This window comes from Homo sapiens, chromosome 13, assembly GCF_000001405.40.
Source record: "Homo sapiens chromosome 13, GRCh38.p14 Primary Assembly".
Classification (NCBI taxonomy): domain Eukaryota; kingdom Metazoa; phylum Chordata; class Mammalia; order Primates; family Hominidae; genus Homo; species Homo sapiens.
Genome location: NC_000013.11, coordinates 52,617,350 through 52,643,965, shown reverse-complemented (window position 1 = coordinate 52,643,965; position 26,616 = coordinate 52,617,350). Strand labels below are relative to the sequence as shown.

The following is a 26,616-nucleotide window of genomic DNA, read 5'->3' as shown; positions in this document are numbered from 1 at the left end:
CTGAGACAGGACACCAAGCTCACACCATCAAGAAATGTACTCTAAAGCTGAGCAGCCTTAGAAAGAGTCTTCTTCCCAGTGCTCATATTAGATGTGGCTGTTGAGGACAAAACACCAGAGAGCCACAGCCACCAGATGAAAAAGCAGCCTACGGATTCCACCAAAGATCTTTTTTTTTTTTAGAGACATTTATTCAGCGTCACAATCAGACTATTACATTTAGCAATCAACAGCATGGGTGCAAAAAAAAAAATCTACATTAAAACACTTTGTTGGAATGCTTTACACTTTCCACAGAACAGAAACTAAAATAACCTGTTATACAATTAGTCACAAATACAGTCCTCGAGTTTTTTGCCCATACACATGAGTATTTGTCTAAAACATGTCTTCTTTGTAGCAGCTAGGCCCTGCCACCACTGTGCTTGGCTGAGTTCACAAATCTGTTGTAACCTGTAGCTTCCCTGTCACTTCTCTGGCTCTCCTCTCCTGCTAAGCTTTGTTTCCTAATTAAAATCTTCTGCCACTGCCATAGCTACTGCTGCTGCTGGAAACGCCATAGCCACCTTGGTTTTGTGGTTTTGCAAAGTATTGGCCTCCACCGCCATAGGGGCCAGAGCTTCTGCCTCCAAAATTTCCTCCCTTCATGGGTCCAAAATTTGAAGACTGATTGTTGTAATTGCCAAAATCATTGTAGCTTCCACCACCTCCAAAATTGCTTCCATCATTACCAAATCCATTATAGCCATCCCCACTGCCACCATATCCACCACCACCACAGCTGCCACCAAAGCCACCACGACCACTGAAGTTTCCTCCACGACCAAAGTTGTCATTCCCACCGAAACCATCTCCACGACCACCACCAAAGTTTCCAGAACCCCTTCGACCTCTTTGGCTGGATGAAGCACTAGCCATCTCTTGCTTTGGCAGGGCTTTTCTAACTTCACAGTTGTGGCCCTTCACAGTATGGTATTTCTGAATGACAATCTTATCCACGGAGTCATGGTCGTCAAAGGTTACAAAGGCAAAGCCCCTTTTCTTGCCACTGCCTCGGTCAGTCATGATTTCAATTACTTCAATTTTTCCATACTGTTCAAAATAATCTCTTAGGTGATGTTCTTCAGTGTCTTCTTTAATGCCACCAACAAATATCTTTTTCACAGTTAAGTGGGCACCTGGTCTTTGAGAATCTTCTCTGGAGACAGCTCTCTTTGGTTCCACAACTCTTCCATCCACCTTGTGTGGCGTTGTATTCATAGCTGCATCCACCTCCTCCACAGTGGCATATGTGACAAACCCAAAGCCCCTGGAGCGCTTGGTGTTTGGATCTCTCATTACCACACAGTCTGTGAGCGTTCCCCATTGCTCAAAATGGCTCCTCAGGCTCTCATCAGTTGTTTCAAAGCTCAACCCTCCAATGAAGAGCTTCCTCAGCTGTTCGGGCTCTTTTGGAGACGCTGACTTAGACATGACGGCAAGGTGAAGAGAGACTTTAACGATGCTTCTTCAGCGGCGTCCACGGGCAGAAAAAGTCCACCAGAGATCTTAGATATGAAGCTGGATAGAGTATTTGGATGAGATTCTGGCTGATTCTCTTTGGGAAATAAATACATTTTTCATATGGGCCTGAACATTTTTTAGTGTATGTACAGGAAGAAAGACAAGTATACATAACAGTAGGATACTTCATTCCTCCCTTCTTCCTTGCTGTGAAGCCCTAATTTTGTTTCTCCAGCACATGACTAAGTCATTTGTGGTAATCCCACATCCCACATTGTTGGGATCACCAACCCCACATTGTTGGCCATATTGGCAAACAATATGGTTTAAGAAGGGGTATATAACTAATCTAGCCAATTGGGCCATGCATGAGGTGTCTGCTCAGGGATTCTGGGAAAGGTCTCCTTATTGATAAACAGAAACACAGAATAAATTACTGCAGCTACCTTTAGCAATAGCCATCCTGGAAGACCAAACCAATATCCCAAGGAAAGTGAAAGCATAAGGATGGAGAAACCTAGTTCATCAGTGATACCAGTGAGCTCCTGAGTTAACCAACCCAGAAGCCTCCAAACTCCTGACTTTTTGTTTTGTATTATTTAATAATTTTGAGTTGGGTTTTTCTGTTTGCTTCTTGCAATTGAAAACATTCTTATTCTAATTGCTATTATGTCTGGGAGTGCAGAATTTGATCATAAGGCTGGTGAGATAAAGAAGAGGTGAGACCACATAGGGCCTCAACTCCATCTGAAAAGATTTAAAAAACCACTGAAGGCTTGACATAATTAGACTGACACTCCTATTGCACTGGGGAGAACAGATTGGAAGCGGACAAGTTGAAAACAGAGAATAAGAACAGTGACCTTTAGACAAAACTTGGGAGAACTCCAATCTTTGAAAAAGTCTCTGGAGCAACCCAAAGGGAACATCAGGAAATTATTTTTTACATGGTAAAAGGGGGAAAATATTACAGAAGCAGGATAGGACAGTTGGGCACTTCAGATTGGGCAAAACTGAAGGCAATAGAGAGTTTAGAGGAAAAGTGAGTTATGAAAGGTTATCAATTGATCAAGAGGTCCAGGAAGAGAAGGAAGGATGGGATTCAGCAATATGGAAATTGGTTACTCTTAGTGACCTTTGTAACAACAAATTCAGGGTAATAAGTCAAATGCAATACTACAGAGGGTTAAAGAATAAATGGAAAGTGAGGAAGGCAGCAAGTTTACAGGTTAAGGACAATGACAACAGCATCACAGGTCCTTCTTTAATAAACAATCTTGAGTCAATGATTTGGTGTGGAGAGGCCAAGTACTGACAGCCATGTCTTATTCAGGAGTTGATGACTAGATTATGTTAGGGCTACAGAGAGTCAAGATGTAATATCGGGACAGATCATGCTGGTCCTTGTAAACCCTGTTCAGAAGTTTGCATATTCCTTGTAAGAAATGATGGTAACTTAAACTAAGGTAGAAACATGAAGACAAATGACAAATTAAAAGCTTTTGAGGAGGTAAATTACCTGGGCTGCATGATTGATTGGACGTGGATATCAGATGTGACTGAGCCATGGAAGTAAATGAGATTGTCAAAGAAGCATGTGCAGTGGGAAGAGAGCCAAGAAAGGAATCTTAAGAAATACCAGGACATAAGGCAGAGCTCCCCAACTAAGGTACTATGAATGGTTATGGGTGTGCCCAAAATACTGATCCCTTTAGTCTAAATGGACGGTGAGAGCCACTGGCTGGTCACCCGCAGCAGTAAGCAACTTCACTGGTTAACCCCAGTGTGTCTCTGGAGGGCAGACATTATATTCTGTCAACTTTGTACTAAGAGTTCCATGACTATGTGAAGACATCCTTGATACCTTACCCAATACATGTTGGTTGAATGAATAAATGTAGAGCAACATTGAGGGACAAACTTAAAATGACAGGTTGGGGCCAGATCAGTTATTCTTAAACTTCCAAGTGTACATTAAGATTACCTAGTACTTTTCTAACTTGAATGTCTATATTATTCTGATTCATTAGGTCTGGAGCAGGGCCTGGAGTTCTATTTTTCTAAAATGTTTCCAGTGATGTAGATGCTAATTTGGGACCACTCTGAGTAGCAAGAAATAAACAATACTAGTTAAAAATACAAACTGTACAGCTTTCCCATGAGATACAAATTCAGTAGGTATGGGGTGTAACCAAAGAATTTGCATTTTAAGAAAAACATCAGCTGGGTGCAATGGCTCACGCCTGTAATCCCACCACTTTGGGAGGCCAAGGAGGGGTGAATCCCTTGAGCCCAGGAGTTGGAGACCAGACAGGAAAACATGGTGAAAACCCCTTTCTACAAAAATACACACATCTATTAGCCAGGCATGGTGCAGGCCTGTGGTCCCAGCAACTCAGGAGGCTGAAGTGAGAGGATTGCTTGAACCCTGGGAGGTGACAGTTGCAGTGAGCCAAGTGAGAGGACTGCTTGAACCCTGGGAGGTGACAGTTGCAGTGAGCCAAGATTGTGCCATTGCACTCTAGACTGGGTAACAGAGCGAGACACTATCTCAAAAAAAAAAAAACAAAAAAAAAAAAAAAAAAACAAGAACAACATTAACTCTGAAATAGTTGGCCTAGGAACCCAGTTTGATGGAGAAATTTGAATGTTAAGCTAAGGATTTTGGACTTTATCCTACAGGTAGCAAGAAAGGCATGAGGGTTTCCATATACAAACATTATGTATTCCCAAGGGATAGTTTTGATTTTTTTTTTTTTTTTTTTTTTGAGACAGGGTCAACAAAAACAGAAGAGAACACACAAAACGAGAGAAAAATACAGGAAGGCCACTGTAGAACTGTTAAAAATTCAGGAGCTGGCAAGCAAAGACACACTCAGAGCACTTCTCTTTGCTTCCTTGCCCTCTGAACTGTTCAATAAATAGCGAAGAACACAAAGCTAACTGCAGTATTTGTTTCAGACCTGCTTCTGCTCTCCAATTTAAAAGCAATACAGGAACATTAAATTTGTCGCAGCTGAAATTGGTAAAGGCAGACCTCTACAGGTGCTTCTTGACTTACAATGGGTTTATTGGGAGGGGAAGATATCGTAAGTAAAAACGTCTTTAATACACCTAACCTACTGAGCATCAGAGCTTAGACTAGCCTACCTTAAACGTACTCAGAACACTTACATTAACCTACATTTGGGCAAAATCATCTAACACAAATTCTTTTTTATTATAAAGGGTTGAATAGCTCATGAATTTATGGGAACAATGTCCTAAACATGAAAAACAGGATAGCTTTATGGGGACTCAAAGTTCACTTTCTACTGAATGTGCATCGCCTTTGCAACTATCATAAAGTCAAAAAATTCTAAGTCAAACCATCCTAAGCCCCAGACCGTCTGCATGTGAAGTGCTCCCTAAGGGGCACTATGCCAGATACCATGCCTAAGTGTTTTCCAACTTTCTGTACCACATTCAAAAGGAGCATCTTCATAAAGATGTTACTGATCTCGTGGAAAATATTAGTCCTTCCTTTCCTTTGCAGCTGACAGGATTTTTAAAAGAAGCTCTAAACCACAAGCATATTCCAGCAGCTATTTGTTCTTCCTAGTATGAGTTACTTCCTCCCTCTGCCACCGTCACTTGTATTCTAGTTTGAGGAAATATTAAGCAGCACAGTAAATAAGTCTGTTTTCAGAAATTGCTTAGTCCTGGAATTAATATATTTTATAAAGCAGGTTAGCTTTAGCTCCTTAAGATTTGGTTACTTAGAATGAAATCTTCCCAATTTAATAGGCAATTTGCATACATGTATAAATGCATGAACTTTAAAAGCACCTTTAGGATTAAGAGGGTTTTGTTATCTGTATTTATAGAATTTAAAGCTGATTACCTCAGCAAGTTTTAGAGAAATTTTAAGAATAGTGGTAAGACAAGAATCTTAAGATAATACATTCTTTAGAACCAAGAATCTAAGGATAATACATTCTTTAGAACCAAATGTGTAAATGGTTAAATGAAGGATGTTTTAACAACATGGTCTCAACTGTGGAGGTATCATCTTTCAAAGCTACCTGCAAAAAAGGGACAATGTCCTCACTGGCTAGTAAAAATTAGAAAAATTTAAGGAATTCTCAGCAAATTTCTTATCTTTTAAAATACCCATGGTCATCCCCTAAGAGGGCAAATGCACCTGTCATTAATAAGCAAGTAAGTGAGTTCATAAGCAATACTAACCTCCAGGATTTTTAATTTCTTGGTAGGGATAACAGGGACATTAAAAGCAAGCTTATACTTTCCTATTAACAAGGAGTAGATTTATTTACAACCAATTTCTACTTCAAAACACTTCCAAGCATATAACAAATACCATCCTTAAAAGAGGGATTCCCTATTTGATTGTCTCAGTTTATTAGAATATGGATGGTCTTTTCATTCTAGATAACATGCCCTTTGTTTGCTTGTTTTTGTATAAGAATTATCTTAGAATCTGATAATGCTGGGACTCTACTGATGGCTAGGCACTGCATATCTTCATTATGTGCCCATTTCCATTCATTCCTTGAAATATTATGAAACATTGTTACAAACAAAAGAATATGTGTAATTATAATATGGATAACATATAGTATAATATATACAACATAAAACAACATAAAGGCATGATGAAATGACCACCTGTGAACCTGCCGTCCAACTTGAGGAACAGAATGATAGTACTGTCGAAGCCCCTGAGTGTCCCTACTCAATTACCCTGACTTCCTGAAATACCGCGTTATGTTGATCATTTTCTTTATAGTTTTATCGCCGTTAGAGCTAAGAAAGTATATTCAAAATTTGGTTTTTGAATTTCATAAAATTCTATTATATTGCATGGACTCTGCTGCAACTAACTGTCTTTAGGACACCGCGAAGATATCTACACAGTGTTTTGAAATTCATGTAAGTATCTACACTCTAAAAGTGAATATCTGGCAGAAATAATCTCAATCAATGAATTTTATAACCCCTGGAATTAACACTTACCTGCTTCATTATTAATTGGGAACTCTCAGTTTCCCCTCTTTTGTCCCCTGGATCAGTTCTTCAATCTCATTCTCAAGGGGTTGTTCATATTCTGTGGCTAACTGCTTATCAAATTCCATATCCCAAAGTGAAGGTGATGTGTCTGTATAGTAAGACATTTTAAATAAGAACAAGTCAATGTAAATATCTTTTTAAAAAATGTTATAACCAATCCTGAATTGATCGTGTATTTTTAATACCTTGACACTCATAATTACAGTATATAATAAAAAGTTACTCACGGAGAGATAACAGCAACAAAAATTATATTAAAGACTATAACTAGGCCAGGCACTGTGGCTCATGCCTGTAATCCCAGCACTTTGGGAAGCCAAGGTGGGGAGGTCAGGAGTTCAATACCAGCCTGACCAACATGGTGAAACCCCATCTCTACTTAAAATACAAAAAATTAGCTGGGCACAGTGGTGTGTGCCTGTAATCCCAGCTACTTGGGAGGCTGAGGCAGGAGAACCGCTTGAACCCAGGAGGCGGAGGTTACAGTAAGCCAAGATCGGGCCACTGCATTCCGACCTGGGTGATAGAGCCAGATTCTGTCTCAAAAAATAAATAAATAAATAAAGACTATAACTACAATAATGGCAAGCTTAACTTTGGTTTTACAACAATGCCAGGTAATCACTACCCCTTCTACTGGAAAAAAAAATAAATTTGTATTTTGTTTAAAGGTATTTTTATGAATATGAATATTTTTTATACAATATGTGACTTATTTTTAAACTCTAGACTGTTTATTTTAACTCTATCAAAATTAGTCACTAATGTACTACTGTTAACAACCAAAGAAGTTAGATCAACAGAATAACAATAAAACTGCTAATGAACACTTGAGTACTTCCTCTGTGCTTAAATTTTTTTATGCATTAGTACATTTAATCTGCACAACCAACCCTGTGAGTTGGCTAATTACCACCATCATATTACATGTTTCAATAACTTTTTTACTTTTGAAATTTCAGAACATCTTTTGAAAATGAGCCATATTCCGACCAGTTACTGCTGCTGGGAACGTAAAATGGTACAAACATCTTGGAAAACAGCTTGATGGCTTCTTAAAAAGTTAAAAATACATCTGTTATTCATCATAGCTATTTCATCGCTGGATATTTACCCAAGAGATAATACATGTCCACACAAAGACTTGTACACGAAAGTTCATGGCAGCTTTCTTTGTAATAGCCAAATGTGGGTTGTAATTTGGGAAACAATCCAAATGTCCACTAACAGGTGAATAGGTACAAAAATGTAATACATCAGCCGGGCACGGTAGCTCGCAGCTGTAATCCCAGCACTTTGGGAGGCCGAGGCGGGCAGATCACGAGGTCAGGAGTTCAAGAACAGCCTGGCCAACATGATGAAACCCCATCTTTACTAAAAATACAAAAATTAGCTGGGCATGGTGGCATGTGCCTGTAATCCCAGCTACTCGGGAGACTGAGGCAGGAGAAATGCTTCAACCGGGACCCAGGAGGTGGAGGTTGCAGTGAGCCGAGGTCGCGCCATTGCACTCCAGCCTGGGCTACAGAGCGAGACTCCGTCTCAAAAAAAAAAAAAAAAACAGTAATACAGCCATACAACTGTATACTATTCAGTAATAAAAATGCATTACTAGTACATGTTACAGCATGGATGAATCTCAAATCATTAGCTGAGTGAAACAAGCCAGATGCAAAAGAGTACGTACTGTGTGATTTCATTTATGTACAATTCTAAGAGATGCAACTTAATCTATTTTAACAGAAAGCAGATCAGTGGTTGCCTGCATTGTGTGTGTGTGTGTGTGTGTGTGTGTGTGTGTGTGTGTGTGTGTGTGTTGCAAAAGGACATGAAAATGTTCAGATTTCTAAGTGGCAGTTTCACGGGTGTATCTATTTGTCAAAACTAGTCAAGTTATATATTCTAAATGTGTGCAGTTCCTTGCACACAAATTATACCTTAATAAAGTTGTAAAAAGAAAATGAATATCACTCTCTATCCCTTGGCTACTTTTTTCCCTAATTTTTCATCCTTAATTATTTTTTCAAACATTTTTTATCTTTCTGGGCTAGAGGTGTACATTGCATATGATTTATCCTCCACTCTACCTGTTTACACACTTTTGTCAAGCCCCCTAAAGCATGTCAACAAATAGCTCATTTACTCTTCTACCTGGGTAAGCCTTATTTTATCTATTTGCTTTTTCTGAATCGGTTTCTATGAGCCTTTATGTGCAGAGATGTGTCTAACCACATACTGACTGGCAGATATTAAATATTTTGGCCTAGTTCATCTGATACTGGGTAACTATCACAACTGTTAGGCTTAACTAGCCACATTTACAGAGCAATCACACCAATGAAATAACTTAATTGTCTCAGTTATCTTTTATTTGGTGGACACTGACCGACCTATGTCTTTTCCATCATCATTAGGATCATCATATTTTACACTTGCTAATAGTTGCAAACATTTATTAAATGTGTACTATGTTCCAGGCACTGTGCCTCACACTTTTTTCAGATGACCTCATTTGATCCTTCAGATGTACATACTAACCCTCATTTTACAGTTGGGGAAAGGTTAGTGAGGCAGAATCGGAATTTGAATCCAGACCTACACAACACCAACACTCTTTCTGTTGAGCTATACTGCCTGTCGACTCTGGGATAACCAGTAGGGCCTATGACTATATCCTTTGTAGCAGTGGTAAGAACTTAGTGGGGAACAAGAAGTGGGAATCATGGAACAGAATAACTCATTCAATCGGTCAATAAAAAAAATTACTGAATGCCAATTATATTTCCAGCATTATTTGGGATGGTAAGATAACAACAATGAAAAATTGCTAAATTTAAGTTTCCATATGTTGCTATTCTTCTACTTAACTGGAAACAAAAAACATTCTTTAGACTCATGCAAGTATAGCACAAACAGTACTTTCAGAGTAAATTATTACATAAATTTGTGTGCTACTTTCCTCACTAGAGTATAATCATTTGATACTGTTTTATAAAATACATAAAATTTAAATGCCTTCTTGCCAACTAATTTCAGTTTTAGAAATAAGATTATTTTATTTTAAAAAGCAAGTGGGCTCCTTCCAGAATCCAAGTGTCTCTTTTGGCTGGACAACAGCAGCTGCCCTGACAAAAAATTCCTTTCTGATGCACACTTAACGGATACCATTTGAGCAGGGGAGAGGTGATTCATTGTCCCTATGCATTTTGCATTTCCTTTTTATCATACACAACAGAATGCAGTTTTTGTAATACAGGGGGTTGTTCTTTTAGCTTCACCTTCAGTTCTAATGAACAAATGTTAATTGAATTCACTACTTTCCTTTATAGATGTATATTTTATACTACAGTTTCTTCAAAAAAGAATTTAAGATTAAGATAACTAGTTCCTACGATCTGTAAGCCACATGAGTAGATGCTATAGGGTATACAGACATGAATGAGATCTAGCCTCTAACATAGTTTATTAAATAGGGGGAAAATCAGAAGTTCATATAAATAACTGGTAGAAAGATTAAATGAGTCATTGGAGGCTGGCCCAGGAACTTATCTATCACATACAACATTTTCTTTTTCCCCTTTGAGAGGGGGTCTCACTCTGTCGCTTAGGCTGGAGTGTTATGGCACAATTGTAACTCATTGCAGCATCGAATTCTGGGCTCCAGTGATCCTCCCACCTCAACCTCCCAGGTTGCTAGGACTATAGGCATGCACCACCATACCCAGATAATTTTTTTCTATTTTTTTACAGAAAGGATCTCACTATGTTGCCCAGGCTGGTCTTGAACTCCTAATCCCAAGCCATCCTGTTGTCTTAGCCTCCTAAGTCCATATACAACATTATTTCTATCAAAATCCAAAAAACTAACTTCTATTCGTCAGAAATGCTCATCACTTACACTCTGGAGACCATTTGTACTGAGTTTCTTCATTTATTTTACTAGTAAACCAAATTTAATGCCAAGCAAGAGGACACTCATTTCTCTTTTAGACTTAAAATGGTAAATTTCTTACCCAAAGAAAAGGGGAAGAATAGGGAACAAAGACCAACCATGTGTTAAGAAAAAAACACAAGTCTCTTAAATATATTCCTTGAATGTTCTTCCCATCTCCTGAACAATCACTAAATCACTTCAATAAGTTATTTTATAAATGCTATCTCCTCTTCTAGATAGCAAGCTGCCTAGGGACAGGAACCACTATGTCTTTATGTAATAGCATAGAGATATACTGCAAATGGTAGGTGATTAATAATGTTCTAACCCAAATTAGTGGCTAATCTGGACCTCTGGATTCATGTAATCAGTAGTACTCACCTCCCATTATCTCACAGAATGCAACATTTCAAGAGGGAAACTGAACCACAACTAGCAATGTCAATAACTGTAGTGTGGTATGTCTCCCACCAGGTTACTTAAGGGTATATGTGTGTTGGTTGAACCCTGAAGGCTGGGCAGGGAGCCAAGGCCATAGTGCCTAGCTGAGGAGCAGGTGTCCCTGAGAACCCAAACATCCCAGGACATACCTCAAAACATATCAAGGAAAACAGTTTCATTGTGCACACATGTAGGCAAACAGCCAGCATATAAGCTTAAAAGCAGTTTAGAGATAAGAGGCAGGGTGACTCTAGAGCTGCCCAGAAATGTCCAGTAGGTAAGTCCTAGTAAACTCATCTATTCATCAAGCTGGTCTTGCCCAAATTATTCTTTGGTCTCTCAATGCCTTCCCAATTTACAGTCCCAAGTTTTCCTTCTAACAACCGCCACATTCATGATTCGAATCCAGGCCAATGACAGGAGGGAATATTAAAATATCCAACTATTACACCATCAGAACACTAAGGACATCTTGAAAAGATGGAATATTTTTCCACCTGAGAAATAGTTATTCTTAACAAACCTGTTCACGTGCTTCTTTAGTAACTGCCATAATGTGAAATCTATTACATCTCTTCCCCCTGAATATATTTTTCCTAAAAAAAAGAACATTTTAATGAATATAAACTGTCAACAAAATTATGAGAAAAAAATTTAAGTGAAATATTCTATGTAAAAATTCAAAATAATTCCACTGACGTACATCAAACATCTTAGCTAAATTGCCACATTTTTAGGACTGATAGACTAAAAACAGAAATGTGCACTTGAAGTTTTGCTTCATAATACAACAAATCAGTTACAGCAACTTAATTTCCAAAATATCCAACTGAAAAGATTAGCTCAATTAGCATTAATTTTTATTTGTTCCCTTTTATATTAAGTTTTAAAAACTCCATGTTGTGAAAAATTATAAAACTATGCTAAAAAGAAGCTGTTAAAAAGAGTCAACACTTGTTTTTAAGGGCAGGAAACACTGCAATGTTTAATTACAAATTATAATTAAAAGAAGCTGTTAAAAAGAGTCAACACTTGTTTTTAAGGGCAGGAAACACTGCAATGTTTAATTACAAATTATAATTACAAAAGATTATATAGGTAAATCACAACATTCCCTTTCATAAAGCAATCATTCTGTAAAATAATTAACTTTCTTTACATGACTTTTTAACCATTGAAATTAATATCAGAGTTAACAGGTAACATTTTCTTGCAAACTTGATAATCAACTGTTTTATGCATCAATTTACATATTTACTTGAATAAACTTACTGGCAGATTAAAATCCAGTTTATAAACTGGAGGGCTAATTTTAAAAATAATTCTAAATTCTTTTTTTATGGACTAAACTACTTTTCTCTACTAAATAGAACCGGAAAAAATGAAAATATCATATGAACATTAAGTAATGTGATTTCAAGTCATACAAGTTTTCCTCTAGCAGGTTCCCAAGTTATTTGTAAACAAAGGCTTTTCTGCTCCAGAACTTTCCTCAGTGCCTTGCATTCTTCTTTCTCAACCGAACGTCCGGTGAACAGGATGGTGGATTAAAGCAAGTCACGGCAGAGAGGAAATGCCTTGGTAAAGCACTGAACTTCAAAAGAGGAATGCACAACAGAGAAAGGGAATGGACATTTGCTGAGCACCTACTATGTACCAGAGAGTTTATACGTGGTTTCTTTTCTATTCCTCAAGAAAGCCATTTAAGCTAGGTTTCACTTTCAGCATTTTACAGCTGGGGAAACAGGCTGATGGAGGCTATAAAAGGTGCCCCGGTCACAGAATTAGTCAGTGGCAGTGCCAACATTCTGAGAAAGGCCAGTGTGAACTGTCAATTTCCAACAGAAGCAATAAGTCCAGGCCTGGGTTGTCTGGGGTTGATACCCCAGACCCTGCCCAAGTCATATCAGGGTGAACAACTTGGCATCTCACCATTGCTTCCCCTTACTCCCCTTTAGCTGGCTTTTTAACACACTGAAGGCACAGGAACCCCTTTCCTACTTTTTTAGTTTCTCCTTTGCCACCTAATTTTTAAAATATTAAATATCAAATCTAATATTAAAAATCAAATATGCCATCCCGATGTAGCTGCACAGTATTATATGCAAGCTGAATGATTCAGTTAAATTTTCTCCGGTATTAACTGACTCAGTTAAACATTCTTAAGTAAAACTCCAAGAACACTTTCTACTTTATTCAATAATATGTAACAGATACTAAATCACTTTAAATTAGTAATTCAAATAATATTCCAAAGTCACCATAAACTCTTGAACTTCCTGTGTTAACTGCTAACCACCTTTTCCAACTTTCCTGTATAAATCACTAATTTAACACCCAGAAGGAGTTAACTCAAGTGCCTGATTTTACTTAAAACAAATCCACGGAATACACAATGTATTGAAAACACTCCAACTGTGAGCATATCCTGCTATAAAGACAGGTTAGGCCGGGCGTGGTGGCTCACACCTGTAATCCCAGCACTTTGGGAGGCCGAGGTGGGCAGATCACTTGAGGTCAGGAGTTACCAGCCTGGCCAACATGGTGAAACCCTGTCTCTACTAAAAATACAAAAATGAGCTGGGCATGGTGGTGCACACCTGTAATCCCAGCTACTGGGGAGGCTGTCAGGAGAATCGCTAGAACCCAGGAGGCAGAGGTTGCAGTGGGCCAAGATGGTGCCACTTCACTCCAGCCTGGGCGACAGAGTGAGACTCCGTCTCAAAAAAATAAACAAATAAATAAATAAAAGACACGTTAACTTTTGTCAGACCATGCCAAATATCTGGCTCCTCCTTCTCAACTACCACTTTCAGGGTTTAAAGGAGAGAAAGAATAGAAACTTTATGTAAATACAGAACAACTTTAGATTCTAAAATAACTATGTAAGACATGGCTCACCATCTTTAAGAACTTCAGTAATTTCAAATAGCCACAAATAATCTACCATTTTAAGCTATAGGGTACAGTGGCACGATCTTGGCTCACTGCAACCTCCACCTCCCAGATTCAAGCAATTCTCCTGCCTCAGCCTCCTGAGTAGCTGGGATTGCAGGAGCTCACCACCACGTCCGGCTAATTTTTGTATTTTTAGTAGAGATGGGGTTTCACCATGTTAGCCAGGTTGGTCTTGAACTCCCGACCTCGTGATCCGCCTGCCTCGGCCCTCTAAATTGCTGGGATTACAGGCGTGAGCCACCATGCCCAGCCTACGCCTTTCTTTCTTTTCGTTGATGGTGGGTCATTTCTCTAAGGTGTAACAAAAGATAAGCATGTATAGAGATATAAAGGGTAAATGAATACACAGTATTAGGCATTGATATTTAAAATGAAAAATAATGTTTCTTACAAAATACTCACTTGTTCAGAATTCAGTCAGCTCTATTTATTCTAAATCAAAGGAACCCTATTCATCATGGGTAGATATGAAGCATGGCCTATTTTGATTTAAGGTATAGAAAAATGCAGGACTGGCTAACTCCAGCACATGGTTCCCTCTCTAGGAAGTGGTATACAGAGAGTAAGAACACAGATGTAAATGCATTCATAATGCTCACATATCCAACAGCAATCATACACACCCACAATAAGGTAAATCTACAGTCAAGGTAAAACCAAACTATACAAACAAAACCCAGCAGACTACAAAGCCTGATACCTGTTTCTAAGATCAGCAGTCTTCTCCAGGCCAGGATAATTGTCATAGCCTTGGTCAAACTGAATCTGATGCTCTGGCCTTATATTAATTCTAGCTGTAGCACATCTGGCAATTTTCATATCTGATATTTTGTTATTGAAACTGAAATAATAAAAAGGTCAAGTGCATTAGAAATCTCAGCTACAGCCAGGATCGGTGGCTCACACCTGTAATCCCAGCATTTTGGGAGGCCAAGGCGGGTGGATGACCTGAGGTCAGGAGTTCAAGACCAGCCAGGCCAACATGGAGAAACCCCCCTCTCTACTAAAAGTACAAAATTAGCTGGGCACAGTGGCAGGCACCAGTAATCCCAGCTACTTGGGAGGCTGAGGCAGGAGAATCGCTTGAACCCAGGAGGTGGAGGTTGCAGTAAGCCGAAATCGCACCATTGCAGTCCAGCCGAGGAGACAAGAGTGAAACTTTGTCTCCAAAAAAATAAAAAAATAAAGAAACCTTAGCTACAGAACAGTAATAAACTTTCTGAAACAGGACAGTGATAACATTTAATTCTTATTTCATTTTTATCCACTAATTATACAGCATACAAAGTTATGTTTAAATTAAATTTTAAAAAGTCATCTATTAACATTCACATAACAGAACATTACAATTTTTGTTTACTTGTCTTTTAAAGATGTTCTTCAGAAATATTCATTTCAAACATAAAAGTGTCACATGAAAAATTATTCCAAGAAAATGAACAGAAAGTACAATCAGTATCTGTATGCCTATCACCTATATTCAATAACTAAATTAAAACCAAGATAGATGTATTTATTTATTGCCCTTGTATTTGTTCAAACACAAACAAAATGAGTCACTGAACTGACAGTACAGATATTTATGGTTTTCTTTTTTTTTAAATATAATTTCTTTCAGAGACAGGGTCTCTCGCTGTCGCCCAGACTGGAGGGCAGTGGTGCCTATCTTAACTCAATGCAGCCTCAAACTCTGGACTTAAGCCATCCTCCAGCCTTAGCCCCCAAAGTAGCTAGAACTGCCGGCACATGCCACAATGCCCAGCTAATTTTTTTATGGTTTGTAAAGATGGGGTCTTGTTTTGCTGCCCAGACTGGTCTCAAATTCCTGGCCTCAAGTGATCCTCTCACCTCAGCCTCACAAAGTGCTGGGATTACGGGCATGAGCCACCACACATGGCCATTTCTTTTAACTTCCCGAAATACATCTGGTACACACGCTCATTGGGAATAACAGATTTAGATCACTCTCCAAAATGAAGCAGTGTTACCACTTACTACAATGTAGGCAGCAAGGAGTCTAACGTAGCATAAAATAATGAGAGATGAAGAGAGTAAGTGGAAAGATGTCAGCTTAAACATAAGAATAGGAGGAAAAAGAGAAGGAAACAGACCTGAAGATTGCTATACCATGCATAAAACCAGCAAGCTATTTAACTGAAAAAAAAATTACTTTTCTCAGAAAAGCTATCTTATTCTGTTATTTTTAATAACATTACTGAATTTATCATTCCTTGTTTCATGGACAAGAAACTGTAACTTCCTAAAAGGACAGTAACTATTCAATTGGTCTCTTAAAACTATAATCTTACTTAAGACATAAGTTTTTTAAAAACTTGAATTGCTAAAATTCTACTTATATGGTATATTCTATATGTAAATTCCACTTATGTGGTATATATTATGTGTATTACTTACTAGCCACATGAAAATGGCCTATTTTGAGATATAAACATTACTAACCTAATGGTTTGATTCACTTACCTAACTAGGTCTCTCTCCATCTCTCTGTGCCCCTGACTCTTCCTCATGCTACGGAGCTGCCTGAGCAGTTCTGGCTTGTTTGCTTGTCAAAACAGAGCAGCAGATGCAGCTGCCACCAACTCAGGACTCAGGGGCTCATTTCTGAAAAAGAAAATGAAAACCAAATGAGAAAGAAAAAAGAGAGATTGCTTATTATGCCAGTAGTTTAGTGAAAAGCAAAATGATTTTGGGGGGAAAATTTTCTGTTGATCAAAAAAGTATCATTCAATTCAATATCTGACAAAAGCAGGAATTCTCAACTATTAGGTACCAGTTTTATATAAACTTTGAAATGCTAATTCAGAACAATATATTAAGGTGGAGGGATGAGGGATCAGCCTCAAAAATTATAAATTAGTGGAATTTTCAATTAGATGCTATTGTATTTCAAAAACAATATATATTGCAAGCAAATATTAAGGCAGCTTAACCTGTTCACAGAAGCTTTACTCATAATAGCCCCAAACTGGAACCAACCTAAGGTCTGTTGTTAGAATGAAAAAACAAATTGTCAGATATCCAAACAATGGAAGAGTACTCAGCTCATGCCAACATGAATGATTCTCACAGATATTAGAGCAAGTGAAAGAAGTTGGACACAGAATATATTCTGTATGATTCCATTGCTGTCAAGTGCCAGAACAGGCAAAACTAATCTGAGGTGAAAAAACAATCAAGACAACAATTGCCTCAGGACAGAAGGCTACTAACTGGGAAGGTGAAAATGGGAAACACAGTGTCTTGGTTAAGTGTGTGGGTCACATGGGCTTATCCATTTGTCAAAATCCTCCAGCTAAGATTTGTACACTTTAATGTATGTAAATTTTACCTGAAAAAAAAAAGCCATCAATCATTATCAAGTAGGAGATGAAAACTGGGTGAAGGTATATATAATACAAGAATAGTAAAATGTTGATCATTGTTGAAGCTGGGTGACAGTATAAAGGGGTTCACTGTACCATTTTGCGTACTTTGCGTATATTTTAAATTTTTCATAAGAAAAAGCTTTTAAAAGCTTCCTAAATAAATTAGAGCAAGTTAATATAAAAACATCCTATTATGAAAAGAAAGTAAACTGTATACAACATTGTTTCCTTTTTTTTTTTTTTTTTTAAGAGATGGGATCTCAGTATGTCGTGAAGTCTGGCCTCGAAGTCCTGGGTTCAAGCAATCCTCCCACATCATCTTCCTGAGTAGCTTGGACTACAGGCATCTGTCACCATACCTGGCTATTTGCGACATTTTTAAACTCACTGAGAACTGCCATCTCAATAAGTGGGACCCAAATTAATATTTTATTATGCCTGGCTTTCTGTATTATGATCTATTACCTAATATTCAAATTAAAGCTCCCAAATTCCTAAAGTTCTTGGAGAAAGATTTTAAGGACTTAATTGAGATATATATGGAAGATCTAAAATCTGATAGGAATGGAAGAAAAATAGAAGAATGAAAAAAGGGGTTCAGCATGGTGGCTCATGCCTGTAATTCCAGCACTCTGGGAGGCCAAGGAGGGAGGATCGCTTGAGCTCAAGAGTTCAAGACCAGCCTGGGCAAGATGGCAAAACCCCATCTCCACAAAAAGAAAAAAAAAAATTAGCCAGGAGTGGTGGCACATGCCTACAGTCCCAGCTACTTGAGAGGTTGAGTGGAAGGATCACTTGAGCCTGGGAGGTTGAGGCTGCAGTGAGTGATGATTGTTCCACCACACTCCAGAATGGGCCACAGAGCAACACCCTGTCTCAAAAAAAGAAAAAGAAAAAAGGAAATATAATAGTTAAAATGAAATGTACTTTCAGAACTGTTATCTGTGAATAAAGCTTTAACCGTATTCCACATCATTGTTATTTCTTTCATAAACCACTTGTAAACTTCATTTTCAAATTTTAATATATGTATTTGATCAGAGTAGGCACAGAACATAGGTGAATATTCATTTTTCAGAATCATGCATTTCATAACAATAATTTCCTTCATAGTTATAGTCTCTGGCTTTATAATTTATAAAGTTCTAATTAATAAAAATTGTAGGGAGCCTGTGTCATTGAACAAGATAATTTTTACATACAAGGATCTTTCTTCATAGATTTTAACAATGTAATGAGAACTTGTTAAAGTATCTTTCAGGGCTTCGTGGTGGCTCATGGCAGTAATCCCAGCACTTTAGGAGGCCGAGGCAGGTGGATCACCTGAGGTCAGGAGTTCGAGGCCAGCCTGGTCAACATGGTGAAACCCCATCTCTACTAAAACCAAAAAAATTAGCCAGGCATTGTGGAGTGCACCTGTAATCCCAGCTACTCAGGAGGCTGAGGAAGGAGAATCGCTTCAACCTAGAAGGCGGAGGTTGCAGTAAGCCGAGATCACACCACTGCACTCCAGCCTGGGCAAAAAACAGCAAGACTCCATCTCAAAAAAAAAAAAAGTATCTTTTAACAATCTATTCAATCCTGTAATTAAAACTATTTCATGAATACATACTTTTCCCCTTCATAACTTTTTTTTTTATTTTGAGATAGGGTCTCACTCTGTTGCCCATGCTGGAGTGCACTGGCACAATCTCGGCTCACTGCATTGTCCACCTCCCGGGTTCAAGGGATTCTCCCACCTCAGCCTCCCGAGTAACTGCGATTACAGTCCCATGCCACCACACCCGGCTAATTTTTGTATTTTTGTGATAGACACAGGGTTTCACCATGTCGATCAGGTAGGTCTCAGCTCCTAACCTCAAGTGATCTGCCCACCTTGGCCTCCCAAAGTGCTGGGATTACAGGCATGAGCCACTGCTCCAGGCCCCTCGAGAATACTTTTAAATCATCTCTAGATTACTTGTAATACCTAATATAACAAATGCTACATAAGTAGTTGTTATACTGTATTTTTTAATTGGTATTTTTTTCTGTGTTTCTTAAAAAACGTTATCAGAAGTTATCTGTGGATGCAGAACCTACGCATACAGAGGGCCAAATGTATATTACTCCATTCCTATCAATGACATTATCCTTGTTAAGACGGTGTCTCAGAAGTGGTTGTGGTAAAAACAAATATCCTAGGAAAATCAATGTGGAAGAGGGTAAACATGGTAATGTCCAATCTTATTACAAGGCTAGGTCATTAAAAAGAAAATACAACTGGCCAGGCACGGTGGCGTGCCTGTAATCCCAGCACTTGGGGAGGCCGAGGAGGGTGGATCACAAAGTCAGGAGTTCAAGACCAGCCTGGCCAACATGGTGAAACCCCATCTCTACTAAAAATACAAAAATTTGCCAGGCATGGTGGCAGGCACCTGTAATCCCAGCTACTCGGGAGGCTGAGGCAGAGAACTGCTTGAACCCAGGAGGTGGAGATAGCAGTGAGCCAAGACCGCGCCACTGCACTCCAGCCTGGGTGACAGAGCGAGACTCCATCTCAAAAACAAAACAAAACAAAACAAAATACAACTTCCTCTTGGCTCACTTTCTCTTGAGACACCCACCCTGGAACCCAGCCACCATGCGGTGAGAAAGCCCAGGCCACAAAGAAAGCCACATGTAGGTGTTTCTGCTAACACCCTCAGCTAAGGTCTCAGCTGACAGCTGGCATCAACTGCCAGACCTATGAGTGGGCAAACTTCAGATGATTCCAGCCTCAGATTTCTAAGTCTTCCAACTGAGGACCCAGACATCATAGAGCACAGACTGGCCTTCCCCGCTGTGTTCCAGCCAAACTGCTAACCCACAGAATCTGTGAGCATAATGAGTGAATGTTTTATGCCACTAAGTTTGGGAGGTAGTGTAACTATGGTAACCATATCAATGGGGATTTAATATATAATACAAAGAAAGAAAAGCAGGCTATGCATGAAGCTATGATGACAGTGCCTCATGAAGCAAAGATCATGACTCATCTAATCCCATGCATCCTGGAAGTCCTTGAAAAGCGGGGAGGGGAGGCAAAAATCATTAAAAGACACCTTTTAAAAACTCAAAACAGATGCACCTTGTTCACCAGTCTTTTGATGTAGGACCAAAGCCTCTTTTTTAAACACAGGACCACTGATAAAAGGTTCTAAGGCATATATTTTACATACATCACACCCATCCTGCAATATTTTCAATTTTGGTTTAAGTGGAAAAGTGGAGCAAGAATGTGAGATAGCTTACAAAGCAATCTAAGGGTATGATGCTCCTGCGTATGTATATTTGTCTCACTCATGCCTAATTGGAAAGAAATTGTTTACGTGACCTTTACTGACTCTTTCCAAAGCATTCAACTCACTTTACCATTTCTGTAATAGTTAATTAAATTAAAATAAAGGGCATGAGGGGTCATAAACAGGTCTGGTAGCCTTAAAAATGCCATTCTTGATATGTATTTATATGTTTGTGTTATTTACTTCCACATACTTATATGTAACTGTTTTGTTTCTAAAGAGTAGGACGAGGAGGAAGTACCTATTATGGGTACTGATTGTCTGAATTAGCTTACTCTACCACCCAATTATACTTTCCAGAGGTATTTTTGATACCATGTAGAAACCAAGAAGTTCCATTAAAATGTTAAATCATTCTGGAAAACAGAAGCCTATATTATCTGTTTGTTCTGATAAGGGAAGTCAGTGATGGGTATCCTAAAGCCACACACCTTACTACTTGAATTAATGACATCCCTGAAATACATCATTATGTATCATTAAAAAAAAAAACTGCCATTTAACCTACAACACAATGCCAAGATATTACTGATTGCACTTAGAATTAAATACTCTTTTGACAAGCACAAGTAATTACAATGCTCTGAGGAAGCCAGGAAAGCTGAAAGCACGGATAGTTATTGGTCACAGGAAGTCATACAGAGCAGTTGTAATCAACGTGCTAAACTTTATTCCAGAAAAAATTTTTTAAATGGAAAATTTCAAATAAGTGAGTCCTTTACAGACATGAAGCTACCTTCAAATCAAGATGTAAATGATATTGTTAATTAACAGCTTAAAGAGGCAGTTAAGTAGCAGTTAATAACACCAATAAGTATGTAAGAGTGTAGAATTCTCAATGAGATCACTTCTCTCTTCCTTTCACTGGATTGTGTACAGATATCCTCTTGTTATTTAAATATAATACAATTACAGCATTTCTCAAGTAATTATTAGACTCCCTGTGTTTATTAGCTGATATTTTTTTCTTCATTAATTCAATATCTCCCAAGTACTTGTACTAAAAACATTTTTTGCAAAAAGAAAAAGCTTACTGGAATTTTAAAAATTACTTTCAAACAACATTCAAATTACAATTAAATTTACCTCTTCTTTGGAGCATGTCCTAAAGCTCTTTGAGGCCCGCCAGTTGTAGCTTTTAAGTGAACTTCTGTTGGGTGGCTTTGTTGTTTGTACATTTACTGTGCTCAATTCAACTTTCGTGCCCTTAATAATGTCTAACAAGTCTTTTTCTCTGTTTTCCTTTACACTGTCTTGGTTGTCTGAAGTCTCCTTGGAAGTCTCAACAGTTCACACTGCTCAACTTTCTTGCTACAGATAGCGCCGTTAGTGCCAAAATATCTTTGGATATTATTTTTTGTCCTGGAAAGATGCATTAAAGAAAAAAAATGAAAAATACAATGCAGGCTAATAAAGCAAAAAACCGTGTATCTAAATTTTTTTTCAATTCAAGCCCTTTCCATTTGCTTTTTATAATTATTAACAACCATAGCAGCAGCAACTTACCATTTATTAGCACATACTATATGCCTCAACCTCGTGCAATATGTTTTATGCACATTTCTCATACCCACATTAACTCCCTAAGGTCTCCATTTTGCAGATAAGGAAACTGAAAATCAGAGAAGTAACTTACCTAAGGTCATGCACCTCACAGCCCATTAAGGCCTAAGACACACTGGGGTGCCACAAATAAGTAGAGGTATGCTGAGATATTGATCACCTGCTCCTTGGGGTGGCCAGGGGAGGCCTGGGGGTGCTGGTGCTCCCAAATCTGTTCCTTCCCACCATTTACCCCAGAGTTCGGTAGAAAAACTCTGACATGGTTAATAAATGACAATTTATTATTCTCAAACCCAGATCTGACTGACTGCAAGTCCTTGATCTTAACATAACACCTCTTTAAAAAGTTATAATTAAATAATACAAAAATAAATTTCTATCAAAAAGATTACTTTAAAAAAAACTGAGTGGGTCTTGTTTTAATCTGATCAACATTCTCATCAAGCTACATGCCACTTAACCCATAACCACTTGTAAGCTAAGCTAAAATGGAACAGAAAAGAAAATAATCGATGGCTATAAATGTCATTTTTGCTTTCCTCATTAGATACATTTATGAAAGAGAACACCACAAATGATTACATCTATACTAGACTCATGCAAAAGATGTCCTAATTCTAAGTAACTCAAATATCCAGTTTTATTCTGTGGAGTTAAAAACCTCTTTTGGCACTTGATTACTAAAGAACTTTAAAAACTCTTTGAATGTGTTAGTTTCAGTAAGAGGGTATAATATATTTAAAAATCATTCATTAAATATAGTGAATATCTACTCTGTGCTGGGCACTATACTAGGTACTGACAATATATTAGTAAATAAGAATTTCATAGTCCCTACTTATATGAAGCTGATGTGCTACAGCACTGCTTCTCACACTTTAATATATATAGAAATTATTTTTTTTTTTTTGAGACAGGGTCTCGCTCTGTCACACAGGCTGGAGTGCAGTGGCGTGATCTTGGCTCACTGCAGCCTCGACTTCCCCAGGCTCCGGCGATCCTCCCACCTCAGCCTCCTGAGTAGTTGGGACTAATTTTTTGTAGAAATGGGTTTCCCATGTTGCACAGGAACTCCTGGGATCTGCCCACTTAGAACTCCCACCACCCACCTAGGCTTCCCTAAGTGCTGGGATTACATGCCTGGGCCACTGTGCCTGGCCCACAGAAAGTATCTATGCTCCTTGCTAAAATACAGATTCTTTGGTCCCACCAAACTACTCTGATTCAGTAGCTGTTTCCAGGAGACACTTGAGAATTTGCATTTCTAACAAGCTCCCAGGTGTTGCTAATTCTGCTGATCAGGGGACCACATTACAGTAGCTATGTTACCTATGTTACTTAATCCTTACAATCTTAAAGGATAGGTTTTATTATTCTCGTTTTACAGAACAAACTGCTGCCCACAGACGTTAGGTCAGTGGTTATGAATCTCTAGAGGTTATACAAATCACATAGGCAGCTGACTTAAAACACAGATTCCTAAGATTCTTAGTTTGTAAGTTTGGAATGGGGTTCAGGAATCAGCATGTTAAATAAGACCCAGGTGCTTCTGATGCAGGTGAGCTCAAGAGCCTGTATCAGACCTTAGGTTAAATACTATATCAAGTTCTCAAAGCCAGAAAATAGTAGCCACAGGCTAAGGACACTTGCATGAAAGAGAAAACGGCAATTTCAAAAAATGCTGAAACTATCTGATCTGCTTATGAAAACGTCAGAGGCTATCAAATCAGGCACTTTAAAATTAGAATGAAAAAACAATTGCCAAACTAGTATCCTCATAATAAGTACACAGGACTCTCATAATATTCAATATATGGTACAATCTAAGAAAATAATTATTATTCTTTTTTTTTTTTTTTTTTTTTTTTGAGACGGAATCTCGCTCTGTCGCCAGGCTAGAGTGCAGTGGCGCGATTTCAGCTCACTGCAAGCTCCGCCTCCCGGGTTCACGCCATTCTCCTGCCTCACCCTCCCGAGTAGCGGGGACTACAGGTGCCCGCCACCACGCCCGGCTAATTTTTTGTGTTTTCAGTAGAGACGGGGTTTCACCATGTTAGCCAGGATGGTCTGGATCTCCTTACCTTGTGATCCGCCTGCCTCAGCCTCCCAAAGTGTTGGGATTACAGGCGTGAGCCACCACGCCCAGCCTATTATTCTACACTTAAAGTTAACACTGGTCAGGTGCAGCGGCTCACGCCTGTAATCCCAGCATTTTGGGAGGCCGAGGCGGATGGATTACCTGAGGTCTGGAGTTCGAGACCAGCCTGGCCAACACAGTGAAACTCCGTTTCTACTAAAAATACAAAAATGAGCCAGGCGTGGTAACGTACGCTTGTAGTCCCAGCTATTCAGGAGGCTGAGGCACAAGAATCGCTTGAACCAGGGAGGCAGAGGTTGCAGCGAGCCAAGATCCTGCCACTGTACTCCAGCCTGGGCCACAGAGTGAGACTCCATCTCAAAAATAATTAGTAATAATAATAACAATAAATAAAGTTGGCCGGGCGTGGTGGCTCATGCCTGTAATCCCAGCACTTTGAGAGGCCAATGCGGGCCGATCACCTGAGGTCGGGAGTTGGAGCCTGGCCAACATGGAGAAACCCCATCTCTACTAAAAATACAAAATTAGCTGGGGCATGCCTGTAATCCCAGCTACTCAGGAGGCTGAGGCAGGAGAATCGCTTGAACCCGGGAGGCGGAGATTGTGGTGACCCGAGATCGTGCCATTGCACTCCAGCCTGGGCAACAAGAGCAAAACTCCGTCTCAAAAAAAGAAAATAAAGTTAATATTAAAGGTACTTTAACAGAAAGGTGGTAATCAGGGGAATGAATCTCACATATAATCTTTACTACAATGTTTCCTTTCAAGACTGCTTTCATACCACAGAAAGCAATCTACATTACAGGAAAATTATGTATAAGTAACTCCATAACACTAACATAAAATTCTAAACCTAACCTCCCACCTGAGTTTGTTTCCACTGACAGTATCTCATCAGTACTTCAAATGCAACACCTTCAAAACGACATTTAAGACGTCCCCTTTCAGACTGATTTTCCATTTTTCACACTTCTATATTAAAATGCCCCCTGACATAAACAGATTTTTTCTGTTTTCCAAAAATTATAACATACGTAAAAATCTTTCTCAACCCCGGATCTGCATTCTTCTGCTAACGTTAAGGATACCATAATCCTCCAAAGCAGCCAGTTGAAATCTTTGCTATCTCTGACCACCCTACCATTATCCCATGATGTCACATCCCCTTAATTCTACCTGGGCAATTTTTCTCCTCCATTCAGCTGGTCCTTCCCATCTTCACTGCTACTAACCTGCTTCAGCACTGTACTTAACTGGCTTCTGAGTGTTATGCATGGAAGTTACACAGTGGAATTAGGCTTTCATAACAATAAAGTACTCGGAGGATAAACAGCAAAACCAAGTATGCTGCAACACGTTTTCTTTCCTGGCTAACTTCAACCAGTGGTCCTTCAGATTTCATCAGACTTTTCTTCCAGAAAGGATATCCTGAGTCGCCCCTGCAATGGTTAGGTGTCCCTATTTGCTCCTCCAGCAATTACTTGTTGGATGAATGGTGTACTCTGTGCTTCCATACACTATCTCAGCAATTACTTCACTACACAGCACTTAAATTGTCTACTTGCTGGAACTACACGCTCCGTGATGACAAGACTGTCTTACTTGGGGTTTATGACCAGTACTGGCACGCTGTAAAGTTTTCCAATAATGAACTAAAGAATAAATGAAGGAAACAGAAATGAGACTATCACATAAATCTTGGGAAGCAAAAGCTAAAACAACTTCGCTTTTGGAGCTTGGATAAACTGACAGGAGTTGATGACAAGACGAATGAGGCACAGCGACCCGGCTTGTAATTGGAGCTCTGTCTTCCACGCACGCTATGTTTCCTTGGGCAAGTCATCTTATCTTTCTGGGATTTTTCTTTTCTCAGATTTAAAGCAATAGCTTCTAAAACCCAGCAGGTAATAACATCGACACCAGGAAGTTGGAGGATAACTGAATGTACAGCACGGGGCACAGGGATGCCCGAGGACCTGCGGAGCCAAAAGTGCTGAACTGCGGTACCTGACAGTTCCACGCCGAGCAGCGAGTAGCAAAATTGCAGCCGCTGATGTCTCCGGGCTTCCAGGGGACAAAGGGTGGCAGGAAAGGGTGCGAAGAGGTAGAAACGCCGAGACTCTAGGAAACACCGCGGAGACATAAAGCCATCCAGGAGAGCAACTGAACAGTGCGCCCCACGCCAAACACATCCCCCGCGCTCTCTTCCGTTTCTGGTCTGGCGGGTTCCTCTCCCTTTGCTTTCCGGTGGGCAACTGAGGTGGGTAACTGTATTCCGGACTCGCCCGCGGGCCGGGCGGAGCCAGCTACCTCCAGACGACCCCACCTACCCCGCGATTC

At 39.2% G+C, this 26,616-nt stretch overlaps 1 protein-coding gene across 3 annotated transcripts, besides 1 other annotated feature; it reads right to left on the bottom strand.

Annotated features, from left to right (window-relative positions):
- Nucleotides 1-192: 192 nt before the first annotated feature.
- Nucleotides 193-26,441, bottom strand: HNRNPA1L2 (heterogeneous nuclear ribonucleoprotein A1 like 2). 3 transcript variants are annotated; one of them, NM_001011724.3, is made up of 7 exons: nt 26,284-26,441; nt 21,702-21,977; nt 16,388-16,528; nt 14,607-14,747; nt 11,472-11,544; nt 6,520-6,661; nt 193-1,560 (listed from the first exon to the last, which is right to left on the bottom strand). In NM_001011724.3, the coding sequence occupies exon 7, from the start codon at nt 1,471-1,473 to the stop codon at nt 511-513; it is 963 nt and encodes a 320-aa protein (NP_001011724.1). In that variant the 5' UTR covers nt 1,474-1,560; nt 6,520-6,661; nt 11,472-11,544; nt 14,607-14,747; nt 16,388-16,528; nt 21,702-21,977; nt 26,284-26,441; the 3' UTR covers nt 193-510. The 3 variants fall into 3 exon arrangements, with proteins under 3 accessions (NP_001011724.1, NP_001011725.1, NP_001376249.1); NM_001011725.3 differs by lacking the exon at nt 14,607-14,747; NM_001389320.1 differs by lacking the exons at nt 6,520-6,661; nt 11,472-11,544; nt 14,607-14,747; ... (1 more) ...; nt 21,702-21,977; nt 26,284-26,441 and having other exon boundaries at nt 193-1,535.
- Nucleotides 26,397-26,616: an enhancer, noted in NCBI's record as "active region_7793". NCBI's record gives its function as "activates an Ori minimal core promoter by ATAC-STARR-seq in GM12878 lymphoblastoid cells {active_cell/tissue: GM12878}" and the evidence as "EXISTENCE:reporter gene assay evidence [ECO:0000049][PMID:35858748]".

Excerpts from the sequence above, each read along its gene's own strand:
- HNRNPA1L2 (NM_001011724.3), bottom strand. The coding sequence starts at position 1,473 with ATGTCTAAGTCAGCGTCTCCAAAAGAGCCCGAACAGCTGAGGAAGCTC.